General features: G+C 45.8%; 1 long non-coding RNA gene across 1 annotated transcript; it reads left to right on the top strand.

The window, feature by feature from the left end:
• The first annotated feature begins 19,673 nt into the window (after positions 1 to 19,673).
• LINC02441 (long intergenic non-protein coding RNA 2441) lies at positions 19,674 to 23,052 on the top strand. Its single transcript, NR_131985.1, has 3 exons — positions 19,674 to 19,849; positions 20,641 to 20,981; positions 23,018 to 23,052. It is a non-coding gene; the product is annotated as a long intergenic non-protein coding RNA 2441 (long non-coding RNA).
• Positions 23,053 to 23,778: the final 726 nt, after the last annotated feature.

The raw sequence follows: 23,778 nt of genomic DNA, 5'->3' as shown, positions 1-23,778 counted from the left end.
ACAATAAGACCTTCCCTGAGCTTTTGTAAATCCACACTGGCTTGTCTTTGATTGTCCTTGGAGAGCTGTCTTGTAGATGTCTTGTAGATTATGGGTGGGGCGACAGCAGGATGCTAGGACTTCCACCTGCCGGTGTATGTTGTAAAATGCAGACTAAGCTGCCCAAAGCTCAGTTAACTTTTTTTTTTTTTTTTTTGAGACAGAGTCTTGCTCTGTAGCCCAGGCTGGAGTCCAGTGGTGCCATCTCGGCTCACTGATACCTCCGCCTCCCAGGTTCAAGCGATTTTCCTGCCTCAGCCTCCTGAGTAGCTGAGATTACAGGCACCTGCCACCACGCCTGGCCAATTTTTGTATTTTTAGTAGAGACAGCGTTTCACTATGTTGGCCACGCTGGTCATGAACGTCTGCCCTCAGGTGATCTGCCCGCCTCAGCCTCCCAATGTGCTGGGATTATAGGCGTGAGCCACCGCACCTGGCCCAGTTAACTTCTAAAAATGATAATGATCATGGCTCAGTTTGGGGTGATACTTGTGTCGGGGCTCATTGACATTTCTAGGTAACGCAGGCTTTGCTGTGACAGCCTGGAAATGATACTGCAATTTGGCCACACACAGGAAAATATTTCTCTATTTTCCACAAATACTTTTGTTTGTTTGTTTTTTGAGACAGATACTTGCTCTATTGCTCTGACTGGAGTGCAGGGGCATGATCTCAGCTCACTGCAACCTCCACCTCCTGGGTTCAGGCAATTCTTGTGCCTCAGCCTCCCAAGTAGCTGGGATTACAGGCACCTGCCACCAGGCCCTGCTGATTTTTGTATTTTTGGTAGAGACAGGGTTTCATCATTTTGGTCAGGCTGGTCTGGAACTCCTGGCCTCAAAAGACCTCGGCCTCCCAAAGTGCTGGGATTACAGGTGTGAGCCACCATGCCTGCCCTATAAATACTTTTTAGAATTCAACATCAAAGTTGTTTAGCCCTTTGATGAAACAAACTCAACAATGTGCTGTACAAATGCATGATCACAATGTTCAGGATGAGATAGCAAGTAAAATGAGCGTTGGGAATTTATACAAGACTAAAACCACAAGTCCACCAGAAAGCGATGGGCTCTGGGTGGTGCCCAAGGTACTTTAGAAAAAGCATAATGTTCACTTAGCAGAAATCAAAGCTAAAATGTACTAACTGACTGTGTGCTGCGTGGTTTATACACTTGAGTTTCCCCTACCTCCAGGTACGCTGGGTTTTCTAGCTGCACTTGCAGTCATTTCTCTACATGATATAGGAGTTAAGAAGAAATTACTTAGGCAGATAGTAAGGGTATGGGAGTCCTCGGTAAGGCTTTTCTTTTTTAACGAAAAGCAGCCCCAAGTTATTTTCCTTTCTAACAAACAGCAGCCTGTAAAATCGAGCTGCAGACATAGATATTGGCATTTGTGCCAATCATGTTCAAGATGGCGGCTCCATTGTCCCTTCTCTTTGTCAGCCATGCGTACAGTAAGCAGACAAGATGGCACTGATCAACTAGAAAGTCCATTTGCATAATAAGATTAGGGTGGGGCAACCAGCCTTCCCCATGCACTATGTAAATGTCATACCTGATCGAAGCAATCCTTGAGTCCTGTGTAAATCAGACACCGACTTCTCCAGCCTTCCTAGAAAATCTGCTGCGGTGGGCTGCCTCCCCACTTCTCAGACATCTCTCTCTCTCTCAAGAAGATGCTCTCCTCTCTCCTTTCTTCTGTCTATTAAACTTTCCACTCCTTAACACATCCACACATGTCCTTGTCCTGAATTCTTTCTCGGTGCAGGACAATGAACCCCGGGGCATATACCCCAGACAACGTAGCCGTTTCATAAGCACTCCCAGGGAATCAAGATAAAATGGACTAAAACAGAATAATGAATCTTCTCAACCATGTTCTTGAAAGAAGCCCTCCCACAACAATACATGAGCATCCAGAAGGGCAAGAGATTTCTTATCCCAGACTGACTCCCACCTAAGGAGTTGCTCCAGGCGATGTGAGAGTGGGAAGTGGTTTGACATGAAACTGACCTAAACAATTGCACACACACACGACATGGTGACCGTGGCAAGGAGGGAAGAGGACATGGTTGGAGGTCCGGGGACCTGAATCCATACAAGGAGGCAGGAGGTGTCTCTGAGGAAGTGAAGCTTAAACTGGGGTCTGAGTGGTGAGAGGTAGGTAACAAGGCTAGGAGGAGAGGAGAAAACATGTAACAGAAGGGAATTGGTTTTATATTGCTGCATAACAACACACACACACACACACTTAGCAGCTTAAAACAATACCCAGTTATCATGTCCCAGTTGTATAGGCTCATGTTCCACTGGGTTCTCTGCTGAGGTCTCACAAGGCCCAAATCAAGGCACCTGCCAGAGTGGTGTCTTACCTGGAGGCTCTGGTAGGAGGAGCTGCTTCCAGGCTCGTTTAGGTGATTGGAAGAATTGTTTCTTGCAACTGTATAATTGAGATCTTCCTTGTTTCTCTGATGGCTGTTAGCCGGGGGCCTTTCTCCTCCTCTAAAGGTCACCCACACTCCTTACCAGGAGGTCTCCTGCATTGTCAAAGCTGGAACAACGTGTTCAAGCTTTCTTCTGCTTTGATTCTGACTTCCCCTTTCTCCAGCTGGAGAAAACTCTTGGATTTTAAAGAGCTCCTGTGATTTGCTTAGACCCACCTGGATAATCTCCCTATGTAAGGTCACTGATTAGCATCCTCAATTGCATCATCAATTTTTTTTTTTTTTTTGAGATGGAGTCTTGCTCTGTTGCCCAGGCTGGAGTGCAATGAGTGGAGTGCAACAGAGTCTCGCTCTGTCACCCAGGCTGGAGTGCAATGACACAATCTCGGCTTACTACCACCTCTGCCTCCCAGGTTCCAGTGATTCTCCTGCCTCAGCCTCCCACGTAGCTGGGATTACAAGTGCAAGCCACCATGCCCAACTAATTTTTGTGTTTTTAGTAGAGATGGGATTTCACCATGTTGGCCAGGCTGATCTCCAACTCCTGACCTCAGGTGATCCACTCGCCTCAGCCACCCAAAGTGCTGGGAAGCAAAATTCTTTTTGCCACATAATATAGCATGATCATGGGAGTGGAATCCAGGGGTGGAGGTCACAGGGCCACTTTAGAGTTCCACCTGCCACAGTAGATATGACATGAAGGTTCAGGACTCCGCGGTGCCCTGTAGGATGTTGTAGAAGATTGGGCTTCATTTAGGCACAAAATTTAAGGTTCTGAGGCTGCTCGGTGTTTCTGAGAACAAGGCGAGGCCATCAAAGGGGTTCAGGCAGGGGATGAGGTGGCTGAATTTGCATTTCGGAAAGCTCACTGTGGTTGCTGTATGAGTATGACGGGAGGAAGACGAGAGCAGATAGAGAAATTGCTATACTGTTGTTTTAGGCAATCAAAGATCCCTGTAGTCAGTCTAAATAGATTAAGTTTTTATTTTTTCCTCAATCAGTTTTGTAAGATATGGGGAAACACTGGAAACTTTATAAAATGTAGCAATGTAATTTGTAAGTAACACACGACAACACAGAATATGAATTCGCTTCTATTAGAAAATGAAAAAAAGAGTGGATGCAGGGAGCAGTCAGCATCTGTTATGTGGTCCAAGGGTGAGATGAGTGAGACTGGTACAAAGATGCTTCAGACCAGGAGGACAACTCTGTTCTTTTTTTGAACCAGGCTCACTCCCTTTGCTCTTGTGACCCAGCTCAAGACACTGAGCCCACAGGAGCCCCGATTCGACCCACTCAGTAAGAATTTATCGAGACCTACTTTGTGTTAGACACTGTCCTAGGTCCTGAGGCTGCAGTGGTGAACACAGCAGAGAGAAGTTCCTCCTCTTGAGGAGCTAGGATTCTCCCAAGGAATGCAGACAAAGAATGAGTGAAGAAACAAATAAAGAGTTTGGCAAGTGGTGATGAGTATTAAGAAGAATAAAGCTGGGTAAGGAGACAGCAAGGAATGAGGGTGGCCTTGGGAGTGGAAGGGCGGGGAGTTCTGTGTGACCAGGTGGCCTGTGAGCAGAGAGGATGTGAGGAAGTGCCTGCAAGCGGAACAGTGTTGCAAGCAGAGGGGATTGCACGCAGAACAGCAAGGGTGTGTGTGTCAGGTTCAAAGGCTGCCAGTAGGGTCTGCAGAAGAAGGTGAGTACAGAGCAACCAACAGGGGCAGGATGCAGGGGGGGCTCGTGGTCACATTAAGGGAATCGCTTTATATTCTGAGTGTCAGCACTGATGAGTTTTGAGCCAACCAGAATAGGGTCACATGGGAGGCTGTCTAGGGTCACGTGGGAGGCTGTCTAGGGTCAGATGGGAGGCTGTCTAGGGTCACGTGGGAGGCTGTCTAGGGTCATGTGGGAGGCTGTCTAGGGTCACGTGGGAGGCTGTCTAGGGTCACGTGGGAGACTGTCTAGGGTCACGTGGGAGGCTGTCTAGGGTCACGTGGGAGGCTGTCTAGGGTCACGTGGGAGGCTGTCTAGGGACAGATGGGAGACTGTCTAGGGTCACGTGGGAGGCTGTCTAGGGTCACGTGGGAGGCTGTCTAGGGTCACGTGGGAGGCTGTCTAGGGTCACACGGGAGGCTGTCTAGGGTCACACGGGAGGCTGTCTAGGGTCACGTGGGAGGCTGTCTAGGGTCACGTGGGAGGCTGTCTAGGGTCACGTGGGAGGCTGTCTAGGGACAGATGGGAGACTGTCTAGGGTCACGTGGGAGGCTGTCTAGGGTCACGTGGGAGGCTGTCTAGGGTCACGTGGGAGGCTGTCTAGGGTCAGATGGGAGGCTGTCTAGGGTCACGTGGGAGGCTGTCTAGGGTCAGATGGGAGGCTGTCTAGGGTCACGTGGGAGGCTGTCTAGGGTCACGTGGGAGGCTGTCTAGGGTCAGATGGGAGGCTGTCTAGGGTCACGTGGGAGGCTGTCTAGGGTCAGATGGGAGGCTGTCTAGGGTCACGTGGGAGGCTGTCTAGGGTCAGATGGGAGGCTGTCTAGGGTCAGATGGGAGGCTGTCTAGGGTCATGTGGGAGGCTGTCCAGGGCCAGATGGGAGGCTGTCTAGGGTCACGTGGGAGGCTGTCTAGGGTCAGATGGGAGGCTGTCTAGGGTCAGATGGGAGGCTGTCTAGGGTCATGTGGGAGGCTGTCCAGGGCCAGATGGGAGGCTGTCTAGGGTCACGTGGGAGGCTGTCTAGGGTCAAGTGGGAGGCTGTCTAGGGTCACGTGGGAGGCTGTCTAGGGTCAGATGGGAGGCTGTCTAGGGTCACGTGGGAGGCTGTCTAGGGTCAGATGGGAGGCTGTCTAGGGTCAGATGGGAGGCTGTCTAGGGTCACGTGGGAGGCTGTCCAGGGCCAGATGGGAGGCTGTCTAGGGTCACGTGGGAGGCTGTCTAGGGTCAAGTGGGAGGCTGTCTAGGGTCAAGTGGGAGGCTGTCTAGGGACAGATGGGAGGCTGTCTAGGGTCACATGGGAGGCTGTCTAGGGTCAGATGGGAGGCTAAGGTCATGTGGGAGGCTGTCTAGGGTCAGATGGGAGGCTGTCTAGGGTCAGGTGGGAGGCTGTCTAAGGTCATGTGGGAGGCTGTCTAGGGTCAGATGGGAGGCTGTCTAGGGTCACACGGGAGGCTGTCTAGGGTCACGTGGGAGGCTGTCTAGGGTCACGTGGGAGCCTGTCTAGGGTCACATGAGCTCTAACATGCATTTGAGAAGGTATGTTGTCCCCTGGCCACTGTGTGGAGAACAGAGGAAGGAGTGGACGGGAGCAGTTAGGTAAACTGGAGCACTGAGGTAAGCAGATCACTGCAAGTGTAATAATCCAGGTGAGCCATGCTGGGGGACTGAAATGGGATCGTGGTGTTGATAAAAAGAGTCAAACTCTGTAAAATATTTTAAGACATTTATTCTGAGCCAAATATGAGTGACCATGCCCCTCACACAACTCTCAGGAGGTCCTGAGAACATGTACCCAAGGTGGTCGGGGCACAGCTTGGCTTTATATATTTAAGGTGGCATGAGACATCAATCAAATACATTTAAGAAATACATTGGTTTCATTCAGAAAGTGGGGCGGGGGGTGCAACTCAAAGCGGGGGCTTCCAGGCCACAGGTAAATTTAAACTTTTTCTGATTGATAATTGGCTGAGTATGTCTAAAGACCTGGGATTGATAGAAAGGAATGTTCAGGTTAAGATAAAAGATTGGGGAGGCCCAGTTTTATTGTGCAGAGGAAGCTCTCAGATAGGTGACTTCAGAGAGAGAGCAGGTTGTAAAATGTTTCTTATCTTAAAAGGGTGCCTGGCTCTTACTTGATTATCTCCTGGATCTGCAAAGGAAGGAAGGAAAACAAAAGGGAAAGGGAATTCTCTATAGAATGTGGATTTTTCCCAAGAGACTTTGCAGGGCAATTTCAAGGTATGGCAAGGAAATATATTTTGGGGTTAAATATTTTGATTTTCTTCCTAGTCTCGTAGGTTATGCCAGAGTTGGGTTGGAAAGTAAGTCATGATATTTAGTGTTAAATAAAAACCATCTGATGAGAATTTATGGTTTGTAGGGCATGACTCTCAAGATGCCTTAGATAGGAACTTGGGCAAAATAAAAAAATCAGAGCTTAGTCCTCAATGGAGATGATGAGAAGTGGCCGTGTCCGGGTTCTGGTTGGCATTGGAGGTGGACACCAGAGGATACGCTGATAGATCAGTGTGAGGGATATAAGAAGAAGGGAATAGAGGAGAGGTCCATGGTTTTTTACCTAAACAATGGACAGAGTGCAGATGCATTTGCTGGGATGGAGGGCAAAGGCTTCAGCTCAGGACAAGTTGTATTTGAGATGTTTCTTAGACAGCTCCGTATAGAAGATCAGTAAGTGGTTAGAAAGATAAGTTTGGAACTCAAGGAAGATGTCTGGGCTGGAGCGTTCAGATGTGTTTTCAGTTCCTGATCATTACGTATCCACAGCCAACTCTTTCTGCAAGGCTCAGTCCGATCCTCCCTCCAGTCCTCCGTGCTGGAAGCTTGGAAGGTGGTTTAGTGGAGTGGGGGCATCATGACAATTGCAGCTCTCAGAGTGCTGATTCTGGGTTGGGGCTGAGTCTGGTAACTTCCATTCACTCCATCCTATAAGTCATTACAGACTCTGTTTTATACATACTCACAGGGCTTATAATTCCTCTTTATGGCCAAGCACAACTTCAATTCAATGAAAAATAATATATTTAATTATTTACTTCCCATCTTCTCTGAGAAACTGTAATGTCCTTGAAGATGGGGACTGTGCCCGTGACAGTAGCCCCAGCACCTGGCATATTGCTTTGCGTAGAACAATTTAGCAATGTTTGGGTTGCAAGTGACAGAAATCCAACTCAAACTTAACAATAACTCACATGTGAGCTGATAAATCAGGGGTAGGGTGAGTTTTAGGTAGGACCAGATTCAGGCTGAAACCCTAGTATTGGGCCTTCGTTTGCTTCCAGCTTTTCCTTCCTCCTTTTCTCTGCTGGCTTCAGTCTCAGTATTCATGTGGCTACAGGCAGGCAGAACAAACTCCAGCCCTTATTCATAATCCCAGCAGTTCAAGAAAAGGTCTCACTGGGTCTCAGTGGCCTAATTAGGTCATGTTCCTCTCCCTGAATGGTTCATCATGGAAGGTAATAGCCATGCCCTTGCTGAGTTAGGGCTGGGTCACATGGCTCTTTCCCAGGATCAGGAGGAGGTAGGGATTCCCCAGTGGAAACTGAGGTGTTTTTCTGAAAGTAAGGTAAAGGATACCAGGCAGTGAAAACAATGATTGCATAGAGGTTAAATGAGAAATATTGGTTACCCAGATGAGTCATCTCAAAGGATAATCTGTTACGATTCCTATGTCCCCTGGAGCTTAGAAAGTCTAAATAACTGAACGGGCACGGTGGCTCACGCCTGTAATCCCAGCACTTTGGGAGGCTGAGGCAGGCGGATCACAAGGTCAGGAGATCGAGACCATCCTGGCCAACATGGTGAAACCCCATCTCTACTAAAATACAAATAATTAGCTGGGCGTGGTGGCACGTGCCTGTAGTCCCAGCTACTTGGGAGGCTGAGGCAGGGGAATCACTTGAACCTGGGAGGCAGAAATTGCAGTGAGCTGAGATGCACTCCAGCCTGGAGACAGAGTGAGACTCCATCCCAAAAAAAAGAAAAAGTCTAAATAACCTGTCTAGGGTCACATGGGAAATGGGTGGTAGATGTGGGTTTAAATCAAATTCCTCCAATCCACCAGCAATACAGTGCTCCCACCCCCCATCCTCTGAGGCCCTTCCTTTGACCTTCACACCACACGGAGGGTCTCCGGCCCTGACTTCTCTAGCATGAAGGGGTGACAGTGCCTAAGGTACCATTGGTGAAGCGAATTAAAGCAAAGACCGGGCCTGACAAGCCAGTCAGGGCTCAGAAGACTCCTTAGCTTTGCTTTGGAGTTTGATTTGCAAACATAAGTAGAACTTAACTTGAGCTATTTCTCAAGTTAAACCCCTATACCAAAGAAAAACAGAATTAAGCTCAATCAGAAGCAGCCAATAAGCTTAGATAACTAGGAACTGTCCAATGGGATAAAGCAACTAAAGGCAACTGGATAGCTATAACCAACCCAATATTGTCTTTGCTTTACCTCTGTGTTGTTCTGTAAAAGCCTAACCTTTGTGTTTCCTCGTGGAGCTTCCAGACCACTTGTGAAACACTGTTTCCTCAAATACAGTCATTACATTTGTATTGTGTCTCGGTTCATTTTTAAACATCATCCAGCAATCATTTTAATGGTTTCTGTCTTTTTCTGTCTTGACTCTCTAGCTGAATAGTAAGATCAAGAGAAACATAAAGAGAGAAAAGAGAGAGAAAGACATACACACACACACACACACACGCACGCACATGCAACAGAAAAACTTTGTTACCCATTTGCTGCAGCAGGAGATTCTTATGACCGGATTTGCAGAATTCATCAAGTGCCAAATTTAAACCTCATCCAGCCACCCACCCGAGTTTGGTTGCTTAAGTGTTGCTAATTGAATATGTAATGGCATTTTATATAGTTGTTTACTTTTTTCTCATCTTTTTCCTGTCTTTTTTTCCCTATTTTAGGTTTATGTATATTTGTACTTATCTTACTATGCAGCTTAAGGAAAAACAAATGAGAACCCAATAGGTTCTAACAGGACAGTCAATAAACAAATGAATTTAATGAGCGGCTGTTGGATAGTGACCTCATGATCACGGGCAATCTATCTTGACAAGAGAAAATTCGTGGTGCATTTGGATGTCCTCTGTTAATATATAATTGGTCACTTACTGGTTTCCTTCAGTTATGAAGATATCATGCTGTAATATGCTCTTCGCTCCACAGATCCTTTTGCTGACTGCTACGCTATCGATTTGTGTGTTTCCATGAGATGATACAGAGTAGGAAAAATGGTCAGCACCATTCCCCTTGATGGGATGAGGGGCAGCCGGGGAGGAAAGCACTTTGCAGCTGCCCTGTAAAGAGGCTGATCTGAGAAGCCCCTTCCCAGCCTCATGAACAAGGCACAGCCCCTGCCCCTGAGCTGAAGCCCTGTCCAGCTGCCTCTGCAGAGTCACTGGACTCAATTCCACCCAAGCTCTTGGATTCCCTGTTTACATTAGAACAGATGGCTAAATTCCTGCCCTTCAGAAGACAGACCTGGACCTCCCAAGGGCATGAGTAGGACAGGCAGGCTCCTGGGTGCTCTGCTTCCAAATGAGCACTTCTTTGTGTCCGCAGGTGCCACGTCCTGCAGTTCACCTGCTCAGGTAAAGAAAGACGCTACTGAGAAAAGCCTCCTGTACTTGTAAGTAAACTAGTTTATGTTTTCTGAAATCTACCATACTCATCATCAGCCTTAGCTTTGCATAGACTGTAGGCACAAAACAACAACAAGAGCTACAGCCATTGGCAAAATGGTTCTTATTTAAGGGGTTTCATTGGCTGAGATTCTATTCCTCTAATTATAGTCATTCAGGGGCCGCCCTCACATCTTTCCCTCTGTGGGTTCTAGCCGCCCTATCATTTAGTAGATTTTATTTAATTGACTTGTCTTCTTTACTTAAACATTTACTCTTGGTTTGTCCTAAGCCAAAACATCCATGAAATGATGCATTTGATGTGCTAATTCAGCTTGCCCCTAGCATGCAATTAGAATACAGCTAACTATTAAAATAAAAACAAAACTTAAAAGCAAATACAACAAGCTATAAGCAGTCATAGAAACTTGGTGGTAGATACATGGATGTAGAGCCTCGGTGGTAGATGTATGGATGTTCACCTGGTGATAGATAAATGGATGTTCACTCTACAATTATTTCAACTCTTCTTTTTTTAATATTCACAATCAAATGATGGAAAAATAAAAAGCAAATGCTTATTCATGCTCCCTAAACTCATCTCTCCTCTCCCAGTGGTATGCACACCAGACTTTGACAATCTGATAACTCTTTGACCTTCATACTTTTTTCCATATCCAGGTAGAATTTGTGCTATTAACTGGCTTTACATGGTCCTTAAATTACTGCATGATCTAAACTTGACTGAATATGCAGGGTTCGTGTTTTCAAGCACGTTTCTGGTCCTTCTGGGCCTTAAGGTTTCCACCTGCCTGGAGAGAACAAGAAGATGACCTGGCCTCCCTGCCTCCCTGCCTCCCTGCCCTGCAAAGAGGCTGATCTGAGAAGCTGATCGGATCAGGTATGGTGCAGACGTCCTGCATGCATCGGGCAGAGAAGGAAGGTGCGGTCTTTTCCAGCGCAGGTGCTGAGAGTGGACAGGCCCCAGGGCCTGGCTGTGGAGGGCACCAGGATTGTTCACTCTCCTGTCTGAGTTCCCTTCTGGCCATTTCCAGGGGAGCTGGGACCCCTCACACAGTAACTGCTGACATAACCAATTTAAAGCAGGTTCTCTCACACATGCCTCAGCGGCACAGGCCCTTTGGGAGCTGGGACAGGTTGTTCTGGGCATTGGCCCAGAAGCGCCTAATCTATGGAGGCAGGGGAGGACTTACTCATAGAGAAATCGGACAAGGAGGACTCTTGGCCGGCCCTCCTGGGTCTCATCCTATACCCATCTCCTTTCTGCATTTTCTTGATCCTTTCACTCCATGCAGCTTTCTTTTGGGACCCACTGAGGGTTCCCCCTGGAGCCTGGTTGAGCTGAGCTGAACTGTTCACAATCCCAGAAGTAACCCTATGCAGATTTGGGGGATAAGAGAGGCTCTGTTTCTCTGGAACATCCTGACTAACCTGAAACTCATTACAGCATCTGCCTCAATCCCTCCTTCGTGCATTCTATATTTTTTGTGTCACACTCACCATAGCATTGCCATCCCCATTTTCACATTATAAAAATCGAGGCTTGGTATATAAGTTGTTTCTCAAGAAAAAAATTCAGGTGAAAGGCAGAGCCAGATGTGAGTACAGGAATTTCTCATTCTGAAGCCTACCCTCTTCTTTTATTTTATTTATTTATTTATTTATTCATTTATTTATTTTTTAATTTTGAGACAGAGTCTCACTGTCGCCCAGGCTGGAGTGCAGTGATGCAGTCTCGGCTCACTGCAACCTCCGCCTCCCGTGTTCAAACGATTCTCCTGTCTCAGCCTCCCGGGTAGCTGGGATTATAGGCATCTGCCGCTACGCCCAGCTGATTTTTTTTTTTTTTTGTATTTTTAGTAGAGACGGGATTTCACCATGTTGGCCAGGCTGATCTCGAACTCCTGACCTCATGATTTGCCTGCCTTGGCCTCCCAGAGTGCTGGGATTACAGGTGTGAGCCACAGTGCCCGGCTGCCTACCCTCTTCTTGTTGTTGCTTTTTGTTTCGTTTCACATTTATGAAAATGCATCTCATCTTTTTAATAAACTGAATTGTCATAAATAGAATACTGCCTCAAGAACTGCAAAAATTGCTTTTCAATATTAGCTTCCGAGATTTCTTTTTATTTTGCAAAATAAATATTAATTTATGTGTAAACCTGATATGATTTACAAAGAAGCGCCTCTCGGCTTTTAAAACTTTGCTGGCTTTGAATTGTTTTATTGGAGGTTGAAAACTTTAATTTAGAAAAACACACATACACTGCGTTCCTGCCTCTCTTTTTTTTTTTTTTTTTTAACAGAGTCTCACTCTGTCGCCCAGGCTGGAGTGCAATGGCGAGATCTCAGCTCACTGCAACCTCCGCCTCCTAGGTTCAAGCGATTCTCCTGCCTCAGTCTCCTGAGTAGCTGCCCAGGTAACTTTTGTATTTTTAGTAGAGACGGGGTTTCACCATGTTGGCCAGGATGGTCTTGAACTCCTGTCCCCAAGTGATCCACCCACCTCGGCCTCTCAAAGTGCTAGGATTACAGACGTGAACCACCATGTCCGGCTGCTGCCTCTCAAATCTTGATGAAAAATATCCACCAAAGAAGACTGTAAAAATTTCCCTTTATGTTACTTAGACCAAGATGCACTTCCATTACTCCGTAGAGCTCATTTCAGAATCTGCACAACGGAGCCCCTGACAACAGTCGGCCTCTGCAGACCATGCTTCTCTTCAACATCAGGGCAAAAACCTTAAAACAACTTTCCGAAAGAACTCTGTGAGATTTAGTTCATCAGGGAAACAGAAGATTCTCTGGTAAAGCACTGAGATGTGATTCAGCCCCATATTGTTTAAGGCCTATGTGCCTGTTGGGTTTGTTACCCATCAATGATTTTTGTAAGAAAAATAATGCAACTAGGAGGAAAATGTTGCACACCTTTCTTCCAACATGAAGATTCCTTGATCAACCAGTGGCAACTCCATGGTAGATTAAGAAAGGAGGGAGTTAACTGAGGGGTGGGCTGGTAACAAGAAGAAAGGAAGAAATGTATGGTGAGAAGATCCAGTGACATCCTTGCCATCTTCTGTTCCCAGCTCTGTGACCATGTGCCTGTGCTATACTCCTCAAAGCCTCAGTTTCCCCATTTGCCAATGGATGGCCACACCACACAGGTCCATAGGCTCCTTTTGGAAGACAGCAACATAAGGGAATGGAGCCGACTTGTCAAACCCTATAGCATGATGAAAGTGAGGGCCTGGTGCTGGTGTGATTCTTCCTCCTCTAAGCCCAGGAGGGTGAGCAGGGGTCAGTTGCCATGGCAGCCAATGCTGTGGAGCAGAAGGACTGCCTGTCTCATCCGAATGGCTGCCCTGAAGTCAACAGACTTCATGTTGCCTCTAGGAAGTTATAATTTCAGTATTAAGTCACTAGGTTATGCACTGTAGTGAAAAATAATCACATTTATGTACTGTAATTTCAACATCTAGAATATCCACAACATAATGAGTGATGTATGTTGTTTAGAAATTACAAATTATTCTCTCGGTACCACACAAGTATGTTTTTCTTTTTAACAGGGTGAGCGATATGGTTTGACTGTGTCCCCATCCAAATCTCATCTTCAGTTGTAGCTCCCATAAATCCCATGTGTTATGGGAGGGACCCAGTGGGAGATAATTGAGTCATGGAGGCAGTTTTCCCCGTACTGTTCTCATGGTAGCGAATAAGTCTCAGGAGATCTGATGGTTTGATAAGGGAAAACCCCTTTCACTGGGATCTCATTCTCTCGCTCCCACCATGTAAGAAGTGCTTTTTGCTTTTGGCCATGATTGTGAGGCCTCCCCAGCCACATGGAACTGTGAGTTCATTAAACCTCTTTTTCCTTATAAATTACCCAGTCTCAGGTATGTCTTTATCAGCAGTGTGAAAATGGACTAATACAGTGACTTAGGTCTGTTTTCCCAAATTGCTTCTTCAGTGGGCACAGCTGCATCATCCTGCTGATATATGAGGCCTTGGAAAAGAACAGTTAACCAGCTGACACCAATATCCAAGATTCAGTCCCAAGTATGTACCCAGTTGTTTCAAAAACTCTACGTTGCTCACGACAGTGGATATTGATCATTGATCAAGGGACATCTTATAAAGACAAATGCACAGAATCAAGCTACTTGCCATTTATATGTAAGATAAATTTTTGGGGCAAAATTGCCCTATGTATTTCTTCATTGCCTAGGGAGCACTTCCCAGGTGGAGAATCCCAAGTCTTCTCCTGCGACTGAAGCTTTCCTCCATGTGACTCATGAAATCTAGGTCAGAAGGGAGTGAGATGTCACTCCTGCTTTCCAGGAGGGTTATTCCAAAAACAAAAAAAAAAGGCTAGATCTGACTTAGAGATCCATTCACTTACATTCACAGGACCCTAATTATCCAAAAAGAGCAAGGCTGATTTCATGAAAAACAAAGAGTGCATCACAAATGTATGATTTGTTCATTCAGCAAGTTTAGCCAAGCTTATATTGCCTAGTGTTTCCATGCTAAATGTTGCGTTCAGAAGAAACTCTCAGTTTAAAAGGACACAGATCCAAAAACCAACAATACAAATACAAAATTTGTCAGGATTTTTTTTTATTGCAAGTAACGGTCATTGAGATGGGCTGATTCATGCTACTGAGAATCCCCGTGTGTTCCAAGGTTGGCTCAAATAATGCTATCAGGCTGTGACATCTTTGTCTCTGCCTTTTATCTCTGCTTTAATCTGTGTTGGTCTCACCTTTAGGCAAATCTTCTCCAAAAAGGGGCCCATAGACCCCGGACTGCCAATGTCTTAGCAATACCAGGATAAAGAGAGCAACTGAAGATAAAGAGAGCTGCTCGTGTGACCTCCCAATGGGTTCACCTTGCTCTCTGCCTAGACAGAGCCTATTTATCAAGGCGAGGGGATTGCAATGGAGAAAGAGTAATTCATGCAGAACCAGCTGTGTGGGAGCCTGGAGTTTTACTATTACTCAAATCAGTCTCCCCGAGCATTCGGGGATCAGAGTTTTTAAGAACAACTTGGTGGGTGGGGGGAAGCTAGTGAGCCAGGAGTGCTGATGGGTTATGTAGGAGATGAAATCATGGGAGATTGAAGTTATCCTCTTGCACTGAGTCAGTTTCTGGGTGGGGGCCGCAAGATCAGATGAGCCAGTTTATCGACCTGGGGGGGTGCCAGCTGGTCCATCAAGTGCGGGGTCTGCAAAACGTCTCAAGCCCTGATCTTAGGAGCAGTTTAGGGAGTCAGAATCTTGCAGTCTCCAGCTGCATAACTCCTATATTATAATTTCTAATCTTGTGGCTAATTTCTCAGTTCTACAAAGGCAGTCTAGTACCCAAGGAAGAAAGAGGTCTGTTTTGAGAAACAGCTGTTATCATCGTTGTTTTAAACTGTAAACTATAAACAATGTTCTTCCCAAAGTTAGTTCACCCTGTGCCCAGGAAGGAACGAGGACAGCTTGGAGGTTGGAACCAAGATGGAGTCAGCTAAGCTAGATCTCTTTCGCTGTCTCAGTCATAATTCTGCAAAGGCGGTTTCACTTATTCCAATGATATTAACAGCGATGATAATAAAACCCAGCTTGGCTTAGTCCATCCCTACACACTGAGTCAACAGTGATGGCAAGAAATATTGAATACTATTCAGTGGGGGCAGCTCTAGCCATACCTCCCAGAACAAGAGCTTGGGTGATGCGCTTTCTTCTCTTTTCTTTTCCTTTCTTTTCTTAACAAGAGCTTGGGTGGTGCTACCTTCCCTTTCTCCTTCCCCTCCCCTTCCCTTTCTTTGAAATGAAGTCTCTCGGTGTCGCTCAGGCTGGGAGTGCAGTGGTGGAGTATCAGCTCACTGCAACCTCCGCCTCCCAGGTTCAAGTTATTCTCCTGCCTCAGCCTCTGGAGTAGCTGGGATTACAGGCAGGTGCCACCATGCTTGGCTAATTTTTGTATTTTTAGTAGAGACAGGGTTTCACCATGTTGCCCAGGATGGTCTCATACTCCTGACCTCAGGTGATCCACCCATCTTGGCCTCCCAAAGTGCTGGGATTACAGGTGTGAGCCACCGTGCTGCACCGGCCTGTGCTTTCTTGAATGTGGATAAAGGTAGTGGTCCCAGAAAGGGCATGGAGGCAGTGGGGAGGCCATGACAGCTCCAGTTTGACCAGTGTTGTGATAAGATGAGAACACAAAGGCAGGAACTCAGCCCTGCTAGATCACAGGTCATTCCTGAGAGCCCACAGCTGCCCTAAGCATTGAGGAACGGGTAGAAGTGAGCCCAGCAAAGAGGAAGGAACAGGTGTACTGAATATGGAGTCAAAGGGAGAAGCAGAGGCAGAATTCAGAGAAACAAAGATGTAGAAAGAAAACTTGCAGCGATTTGGCTTGGCTGGAGCCCAGGAGCTAGCGTGGAAATCCAGACCTGCTGGCCTTGAGGAGCTGTGTGCAGAGTTGGAGCTTTATCCAAAGGCTGCTAAAAGGAAACAGGTGCATTTTTGTATTTGCATCCTGGGGAGAATATTTATATTTTAGAAATCTCCCTTTAGCAGTAATGAGGCGTTGAAATAATTAAGGTAAAAAGTGAGCAAAGATCAGCTAATAGTGCAGGAATGTCAGTAAAAAGGTGTGTGGTGGAGTTCTATCTACTAGCACAGTGGAACTGAAAAGAAAACAGTGACTGACAGGAAAGGAGGGAAGTTCAGGTGAAGTGCCTATGTCATCTGGGGTATATACCTTCCGGTTCCTTGTTGCATGCCAGGAAAATTTAGGACACGGACCCACATGAGGAGTTTAGAAGCGGAGATTTAATAGGCAGAAGAGAAGAGAAAGAGAAATAGCTCTGTCTATAGCAAGAGGGGTCTCTGAGTGGAAAGGACCATAGGCTGGTGGCAAATGTGCCGAATTTTATAGTCAGGTTTGAGGAGGCGGTGTCTGATTTACATAGGGCTTACAGATTGGTTCCATCAGGTATGATGTTTACATAGTGCTCGGGGAAGGCTGGTGGCCCCACCCCAATCTTCCATGGAAATGGGCTTTCCAGTTGATCAGGGCAATCTTGTCCCCTCCTTGCTGCACACGTGGCTGACAGAGAAGGGAAGATGGAGCTGCCATCTTGAACATGTCTAGTCCCCTAGCTCCTGCTGGCATTCACCCGTGCAAGCTCCCAGCTTGCTTGTCTATGTCTGCAGTTCGACTTTACAGGCTGCTGTTTGTTAGAAAATGATCTGGGGCTGCTTTTCATTAAAAAAAAAACAGGCTTACCGAGCACTCTCATACCCTTACTATCTGCCTGAGCGATTTCTTAACTCCTATATTACAGGGTTTGGGATGACTCCTGGGTTCTTGGTTTAGGAAGTTAGACAAAGGGGGGTATGTATGCTTGCGAAAGGGGGTTCTGGAAACAGGCATTTGGTGTTCAAAGCCCAACCCTGTCCTCATTAGCTGTGCAGCTAATAGCAAGTTCCTTACCCTCTCTGAGCCTTAGCCCCTCTATCTGTCAAATGAGGCACATGATGTTACCCATTTTGTAGGGTTCTCGTAAATATAAGTCACTTAGAACAGTCCTGACTATAGTGAGCTTTCAGGAAGTGTCAGATGCTGTGATTGTTACATTCATCTTCATTATCCTTTGCCTTGGAGAACGAATGAGGAGCAGCAGAATGGAGCAGGAAGAGGGTGAGGACGTGTCTGCTGCGGCCATGCTCAGTGTGACCCAGAGGCAGGCCCTGAGTCATGTGATTTGCAGGTGTGCAGCCACGCATCACTGGCCCAAATTCACCTTCTTTCCTCCTCCTTCCCGCTCCATCTCAGCTTGAAGCTCCTTCCCTGGAGCAGTCTTTCCATTCCGAAGGACCTGCCTCTTCAGAGGTCCGTTGTCCATAAGCAAGTGACTCTGGCTGGGACTGCACCACACCCTATTCCTGGCTATGGTCCTCCCAGTTGAGGCGCTGGCTGGAAGCTCCCTGGGATGAGGCTGGACCTGGAGCTCAGGGAATGGAGAGAAGTCCACGAGAGGGGACGATGGAGTGCACGCTGCATGGTGCAGCCAGCATAAGCCATGTTGGCGTCCCAGGCAGAAGAAAGAATATCCACCCCCAATACATAATTCAATCTCAATTGTTATTAAGGTCAAATGTTGTATCATAAAGTTACCCAATTTAAAGTGAACATCTGAGTGCATTCAGTATATTCTCCATGTTGTACAGCCCTATGTAGCTGCAAAGTATTTCATCATACTGAAAGGAAACCTGCAGCCGTCAAGCAGTTACTCCACATTCCCGCCCTGCCCACAGCCCCTGAGGACCACCAGCCTCCTTTCTTTCTCTGTGGATTTGCCTATTCTACATATCTGACGTAGATGGAATTAGACGTAGGTACCCAAATGAATACTCAAACTGTGCATGTTATAGTATCAACCAGTCACAATAGAGAAAAGGTGGAAACCACGCAAACGTCTGTCGGCAGATGAATGGGTGGGCACAATGTGGTCTATCCGCACAATGGAATATTATTTGACTATAAAAAGGAACAAAACACTGATGCATGCTACAAACATTCTGCTAAGTGAAAAATGCCAGACACAAAGCGTACCTATTTTAATGTATTTTTCATGATTATTTTTTTCTGGAACATTAAACTAAATGAAAAAAAAATTAAAAATTGAAAAGCAGTTGTATTAAAAGTTGCAGCATTATTTTTAATGTTAAATATTTTACTTATACCCCAAATGAAATTTACTATATTTTTATTTTCTTGGCTTTAAGGAAAGCAAACTCATCAATAGTATTTTCATAAAACCTTCATTAAATTATTAAAATTTCCATAAAGCCTATGTATAAGGGCACACAGTTTTCCTTTTGCCGTGGGCTCCAATATCTCAGCATGGCACTGGTGGACCCTGTCTTTATTTAAATTTTTGATATTTTGTCCGCCATGGATTTTTTGCATTCATTTTGATTTCTTAACATACTGCATTAAAATAGTATTTATCTGGATTGCTGCGATTTGTGGCACCCCCTTAACTTTTGTGTCCAAAGAGAGAGTCTAACTTATGTCCCCTGGCCCGGCTCTGGCACGGGGTCCTCAGTGCCTGTGTCTGGGCTGTTTCAGGGCTGGTGGCTGGTGACATACAGTGGTCACAAGCATTGCTGAGAAGGAACCTGCTCTGACACGGTTCCAGGCCCTTTCTCAGTGCTTTATCCATGTCAGCTCACTGAATCATCACAACTGTATGGAGTCTGAAGTAGACTGTCAGGCCCTTTTTGAGGATACAGAAATTTGTTCCCAGAGACACTAAGCAGCTTGTTGAGTCACCAGCCAATTGATGAGAGAATTGGGGTTGGAACCCAGGCAGTCGGGCTCCACAGTCCACCCTCTTGGCCACCCCATTGTCCTGTCCTGGATGCAACAACAAGCTTATCTCCAACGTTTGCACAGAACCAGGGTGGCCAAATCACTCCAGTTTGCCTGGAACTCTTCCTGGCTTTAGCAGTAAACTTCTGCATCCCAGGAAAGCTCTGAGTCATGGGCAAACTGAGATGGTTGGCTTCCCCATCCACAACAGAGCACATAGATTGGAGTTTGTGGAGCCAATTTGAGCTTTGGCTGTGTTGCTCTGTCACTGAATCACTGTGTGACTTTGGACCCATCACTGGACTCCCTGTGCCTCCATTTCCTCTTTCATAAAAAGGAGTTTATGAGATGATTCTCATTCAGGTTAATGATTTTTTAAATCCCTGTTTGGTCTTGGTGTAGATTCAAAAAGAGTGAACCAGGAAACATCATGTAATTGAAACACTTTTAGCTTAGAAAAGAGCAGAGCAGAGGGTAACTAGCTCAGAATTTTTAGTTGGTGGCATGTATTTATGAGATGGAAAAGTCTATGTCTGAGAGGGGACAGAGGCTTATCTTCTAGCGTGGAAAGGAGAAGGGGATGGAAGAATCACTGAAGAGGAGAATACAGGTGAGAAGTAGGGTGTGGACTGTTATTTCTCCTGTACAGAGAAGCAACTTGGAAAGGCACGTGTAACAGGTGGGACAGCGTGAGTAGGGCCAATTGGGAGGGAAACTGGTTTTTCTAGGGGATGAAAGCACATGAGGCAGTGCTGACAAAAACAGGATGTGTTAGATCGGGGATTTCATTTGAGCTGCTGGAAAAAGGGACGGATTATAGAGAAAAAGGCTGCAGAGTGCCTCTCCCAGTACTCACAAGGTGAGATGAGAAAACCAGGCAGGTGGGATCCTGCTAAAACCAGTCAAGGATCCCCATGAGAATGAGCTGCCCTAATAGCTTTTCTGGCTGCTCGGATTTGGAGGCCATCTCCTGGCAGTGATTTTATACCAAGAGAGGGAAAGTGCCTGCGCAAAAATTATAACAGTGAGAAAATTATGGCCATGAAAGAGATCTGTTCTAACCCACCCCCATTTTGCCTTTTTCTAATTTATTCCTGGGCTTTTGGGCTGAGCTGACTTTGGAAGATATTTAGCTGATATTAATCGTTTAAATGATAATAGCACTTCCCCAAAACTCAACCGCCTTTGTAAAGCTAATGAAAGGCCATCAGGCTGGGGGAGAAGGGGAATCTGAATTCTGCTAAAGTGTGGACATACATTGTCAGTCATTCCAGCAGATAACACCACTATTATAGATTGACCTTTTGAAATATAATACATTTTCAGGGTTTTTTGGTTTGTTTGTTTTTTTGTTTGTTTGTTTGTTTTTTTTTTGATATCTGACACCATGTCTCCATGTAGACCAATCTCACTCCCGTGACCCCACCCAGAAGTGATTCAATGCAAGAGGACAGCTTGGATCTCCTATGACTTCATCTCTGCCCCAACCCATCAGCAGCAAGCACTCATTGCCTAGCAACCACCGGCCCTTACCCCACACTGTCTTTGAAAAGCTCCTGCTTATGAGCCTTGGATGAGACTGATTTGAGTGTTAACTCCACCTCCCACGTGGCGTGGCTGGCCTCCTGTCTGTGAAACTCTTTCTTTATTGCAGTGTTGTGGTCTTTATTTGCGCAGTGGGCAGGAAGAACCCCTTGGGTAGTTACAAAAGGTCACCTGGAAATGAAGTGACAACTAATTAGGTATGAATCAACATGGTGAGCAAAGGTCAGGGGAGAGGTTCACACTGCGGTGATGGATGGTCTCAAGGGGTTGGGTCGGATTTGCAGTAAAAGAGATTTTCCTGGAATCTGAGTGATGAAGAATAACTTGCAAATGCAAACTTGTTTCTCCTGCTGATGCGTTCCTAGTCTATGTAAGTCACTGAAAAGTGTTCACCAATTGCTTCAACATTCAGGACTGGGATATAGCAATGTTTTCGACTGATTTTTTTTCTTTTAATAGACTGGTTCTTGTTACTTGAGTGGGTTAGTGACCTTGATTGCTTTTATACTCATATCCACCAAGGAAGGCTGAACCCACCCTAAACAGTTCAGCCCAGTGGAAGGGAAGCTACATATTAATCTGATTATACTTATTCCTGAGCATAGTAAGATACTAGTATACTTCTACATTTAAAAAATTGTTATGCTGTCCTGGAAGCTTAAATGAATGCAATGCAGTCCTTCTCAATGACATTCAAATGCACCCAATTCCTCTTTTCCATCACTCCTATCATTCTCTCTAGACCCTAGTCCTCACCTGGACACCTGCAGCAGGGCCTAACCGACCTTCCTCTAATTCATTCACCACACACTGCCCAGAGTGATGTTCTAAAGTACAGTGACCATGCCACTCCCATTAATAAAATCTTTCACCACTCCTCGTTGCTCCAAGAGAGAATGAAAATGTATTTCGGTAGCTAGCAAGCCCCTGGGGGACCTGGCGCCTTTTACTTATGGTGTTTCATAATTTGTGGCTTCCTCCACTTGATACCAGTCTCCAGCCAAGTGTGATTCTTCAATGGCCCTGAACTGACCTTCTTGGTCTTCAGAGATTTTATAGTTCCTGCTGCTTCTGCATGGATCACCTTCTATCACCCAGCTCCTCCATACTTTCACGTCTTCCACTCTCTGTCTCGGCTTTCAGAAGTCACCGCTGGGGTCTCCTCCTCTGGGAACATGAGACTTCCTAAGAGTGTCGGATGAGCTGCCAAAGTTAAGAAAGCCTCCTTGATCTGGGATGGATCATCTGATTATTTAAATGGGAAAGGGACAAAAATTTGGGCATCCTGAGACAGAATCTAGTCCAATGTTGACTTAGTCCAATGTTTAAATACTTAGTCTGTCCTCTCCCCGGAGATGGAAATGTCAGTTATCAGGGATGCTAAGGGCTGATGAGCGGGAGGAAGCCCTTGTCCTTTTATTTATTTTCCAGGGCAGAAGCTTTGGCCACTGTCATCTGCGAAATCCAGTTACAACTTTCTCTGTTTTATGAGGGCTTCATGAACCGTATTCCACCCTACTTTTTCAGGGTCACTTCTCCGTCCACAGAGCCTGTTTGAAGAGCCTTATGCAAGTCAATTGCACACTGTTTTTTTGTTGTTGTTGAGATGGAGTCTTGCACTGTCACTCAGGCGGGAGTGCAGTGGCACGATCTCGGCTCACTGTAGCCTCCACCTCTCAGACTCTCATGCCTCAGCCTCCTGAGTAGCTGAGATGATAGGTGCCCACCACTACGCCCGGCTAATTTTTGTATTTTCGGTAGAGACAGGGTTTCTCCATGTTGGCCTGGCTGGTCTCAAACTCCTGACCTCAAGTGATCTGCCTGCCTCAGCCTCCCATAGTGCTGGGATTATAGATGTGAGCCACCATGCCCAGTCTGTTCATTTTTTTCTCAATCCCGCCATACAGATATCTTATCAAAATGAATGTAGTGACCCTGGCACAGCCCAAAACAACCACGCCCCTAAAAAGAAGAACATTGAAAGAGGAAATTGGGAACCTAAGCCTTTTCTGAGGACATTCTGGAAGGTCCATTATGACACATTTCAATTCCCAGGTACTAGGTTCAAGTCCTAACAGAACATTTTATATATTACATTATAAACTCTCTAGAGTGGTCTTTATTCTTCATTAGTTTATGGGATAGAAAATTCATCATTAACCCTGACTGCGAATAAGTGCTCATTGACAGTGTAGATGAATGAATAAGATTGCTTTGTTTGTTTTATTTTCAGAATTGAAGAAGTGTGGGTCTGCTGTCTCATTATGGTAAAGTCTACACTTAGGAAACCCTCAGACATACTCTTTGATCAAAATGATGCTCATAACATTCTGTTTTTTCAAGGCCGAAGGATCAGTGCCCCCCGCCCCACTCTTGTCCATTACCGAGAGCATCCTCACAGTCCATTGGAAAGTCCATCATGAAGTAACGAATTTGTTCTCTGTGTTTATCACCTGAATAATAGATTCAGGGCCCATCATCTCCTGGAAAGCTATTAATCATACACTGCAGTGTGGCACAGGTTTGATGGGTTGGCCTCAAAACCATGCCTGGCTGGATTGGAATTGTGGATGATGTTCAATAACTGCCTTCAGAAACTATTCAAGACATTTAATGAAGACACTTTTTTCTCCATGTTTCTCTTAGGGACAAAAAATATAGCCAATAGCTTTTTCCTCCTGATTGCAAGTGCTTTCCGAAATCCTCTGTCTTCTTAATGGAAGAAGATTTCTATCTTGGCTCCTATTATTTGAGAGATGTGAAAAGCAGATTCTCCAAATATATGTGAGAAACAAAACAAAAAAACCATTTATGAAAAGTACAAAAAGTCGCACACATAATAAAAGCTAAGCCCTTCCTTTCTTCCTCCTTGGTTAACTTTGGAGCCTTGATAAAAGACAATCTGAACAAAGAGCTCTTTAGAACAACTACAAAAAGTTTCACAAATGCAGCGAGCAATTACAAACTCTGTTTCAATGGGCCTCAGAGCCACAC

The sequence above is a fragment of the Homo sapiens genome, chromosome 12 (assembly GCF_000001405.40).
Source record: "Homo sapiens chromosome 12, GRCh38.p14 Primary Assembly".
NCBI classification, from domain to species: Eukaryota; Metazoa; Chordata; class Mammalia; order Primates; family Hominidae; genus Homo; species Homo sapiens.
The sequence above is the reverse complement of the archived record's forward strand: the minus strand, read 5'-3'. Positions and strand labels throughout refer to the sequence as shown.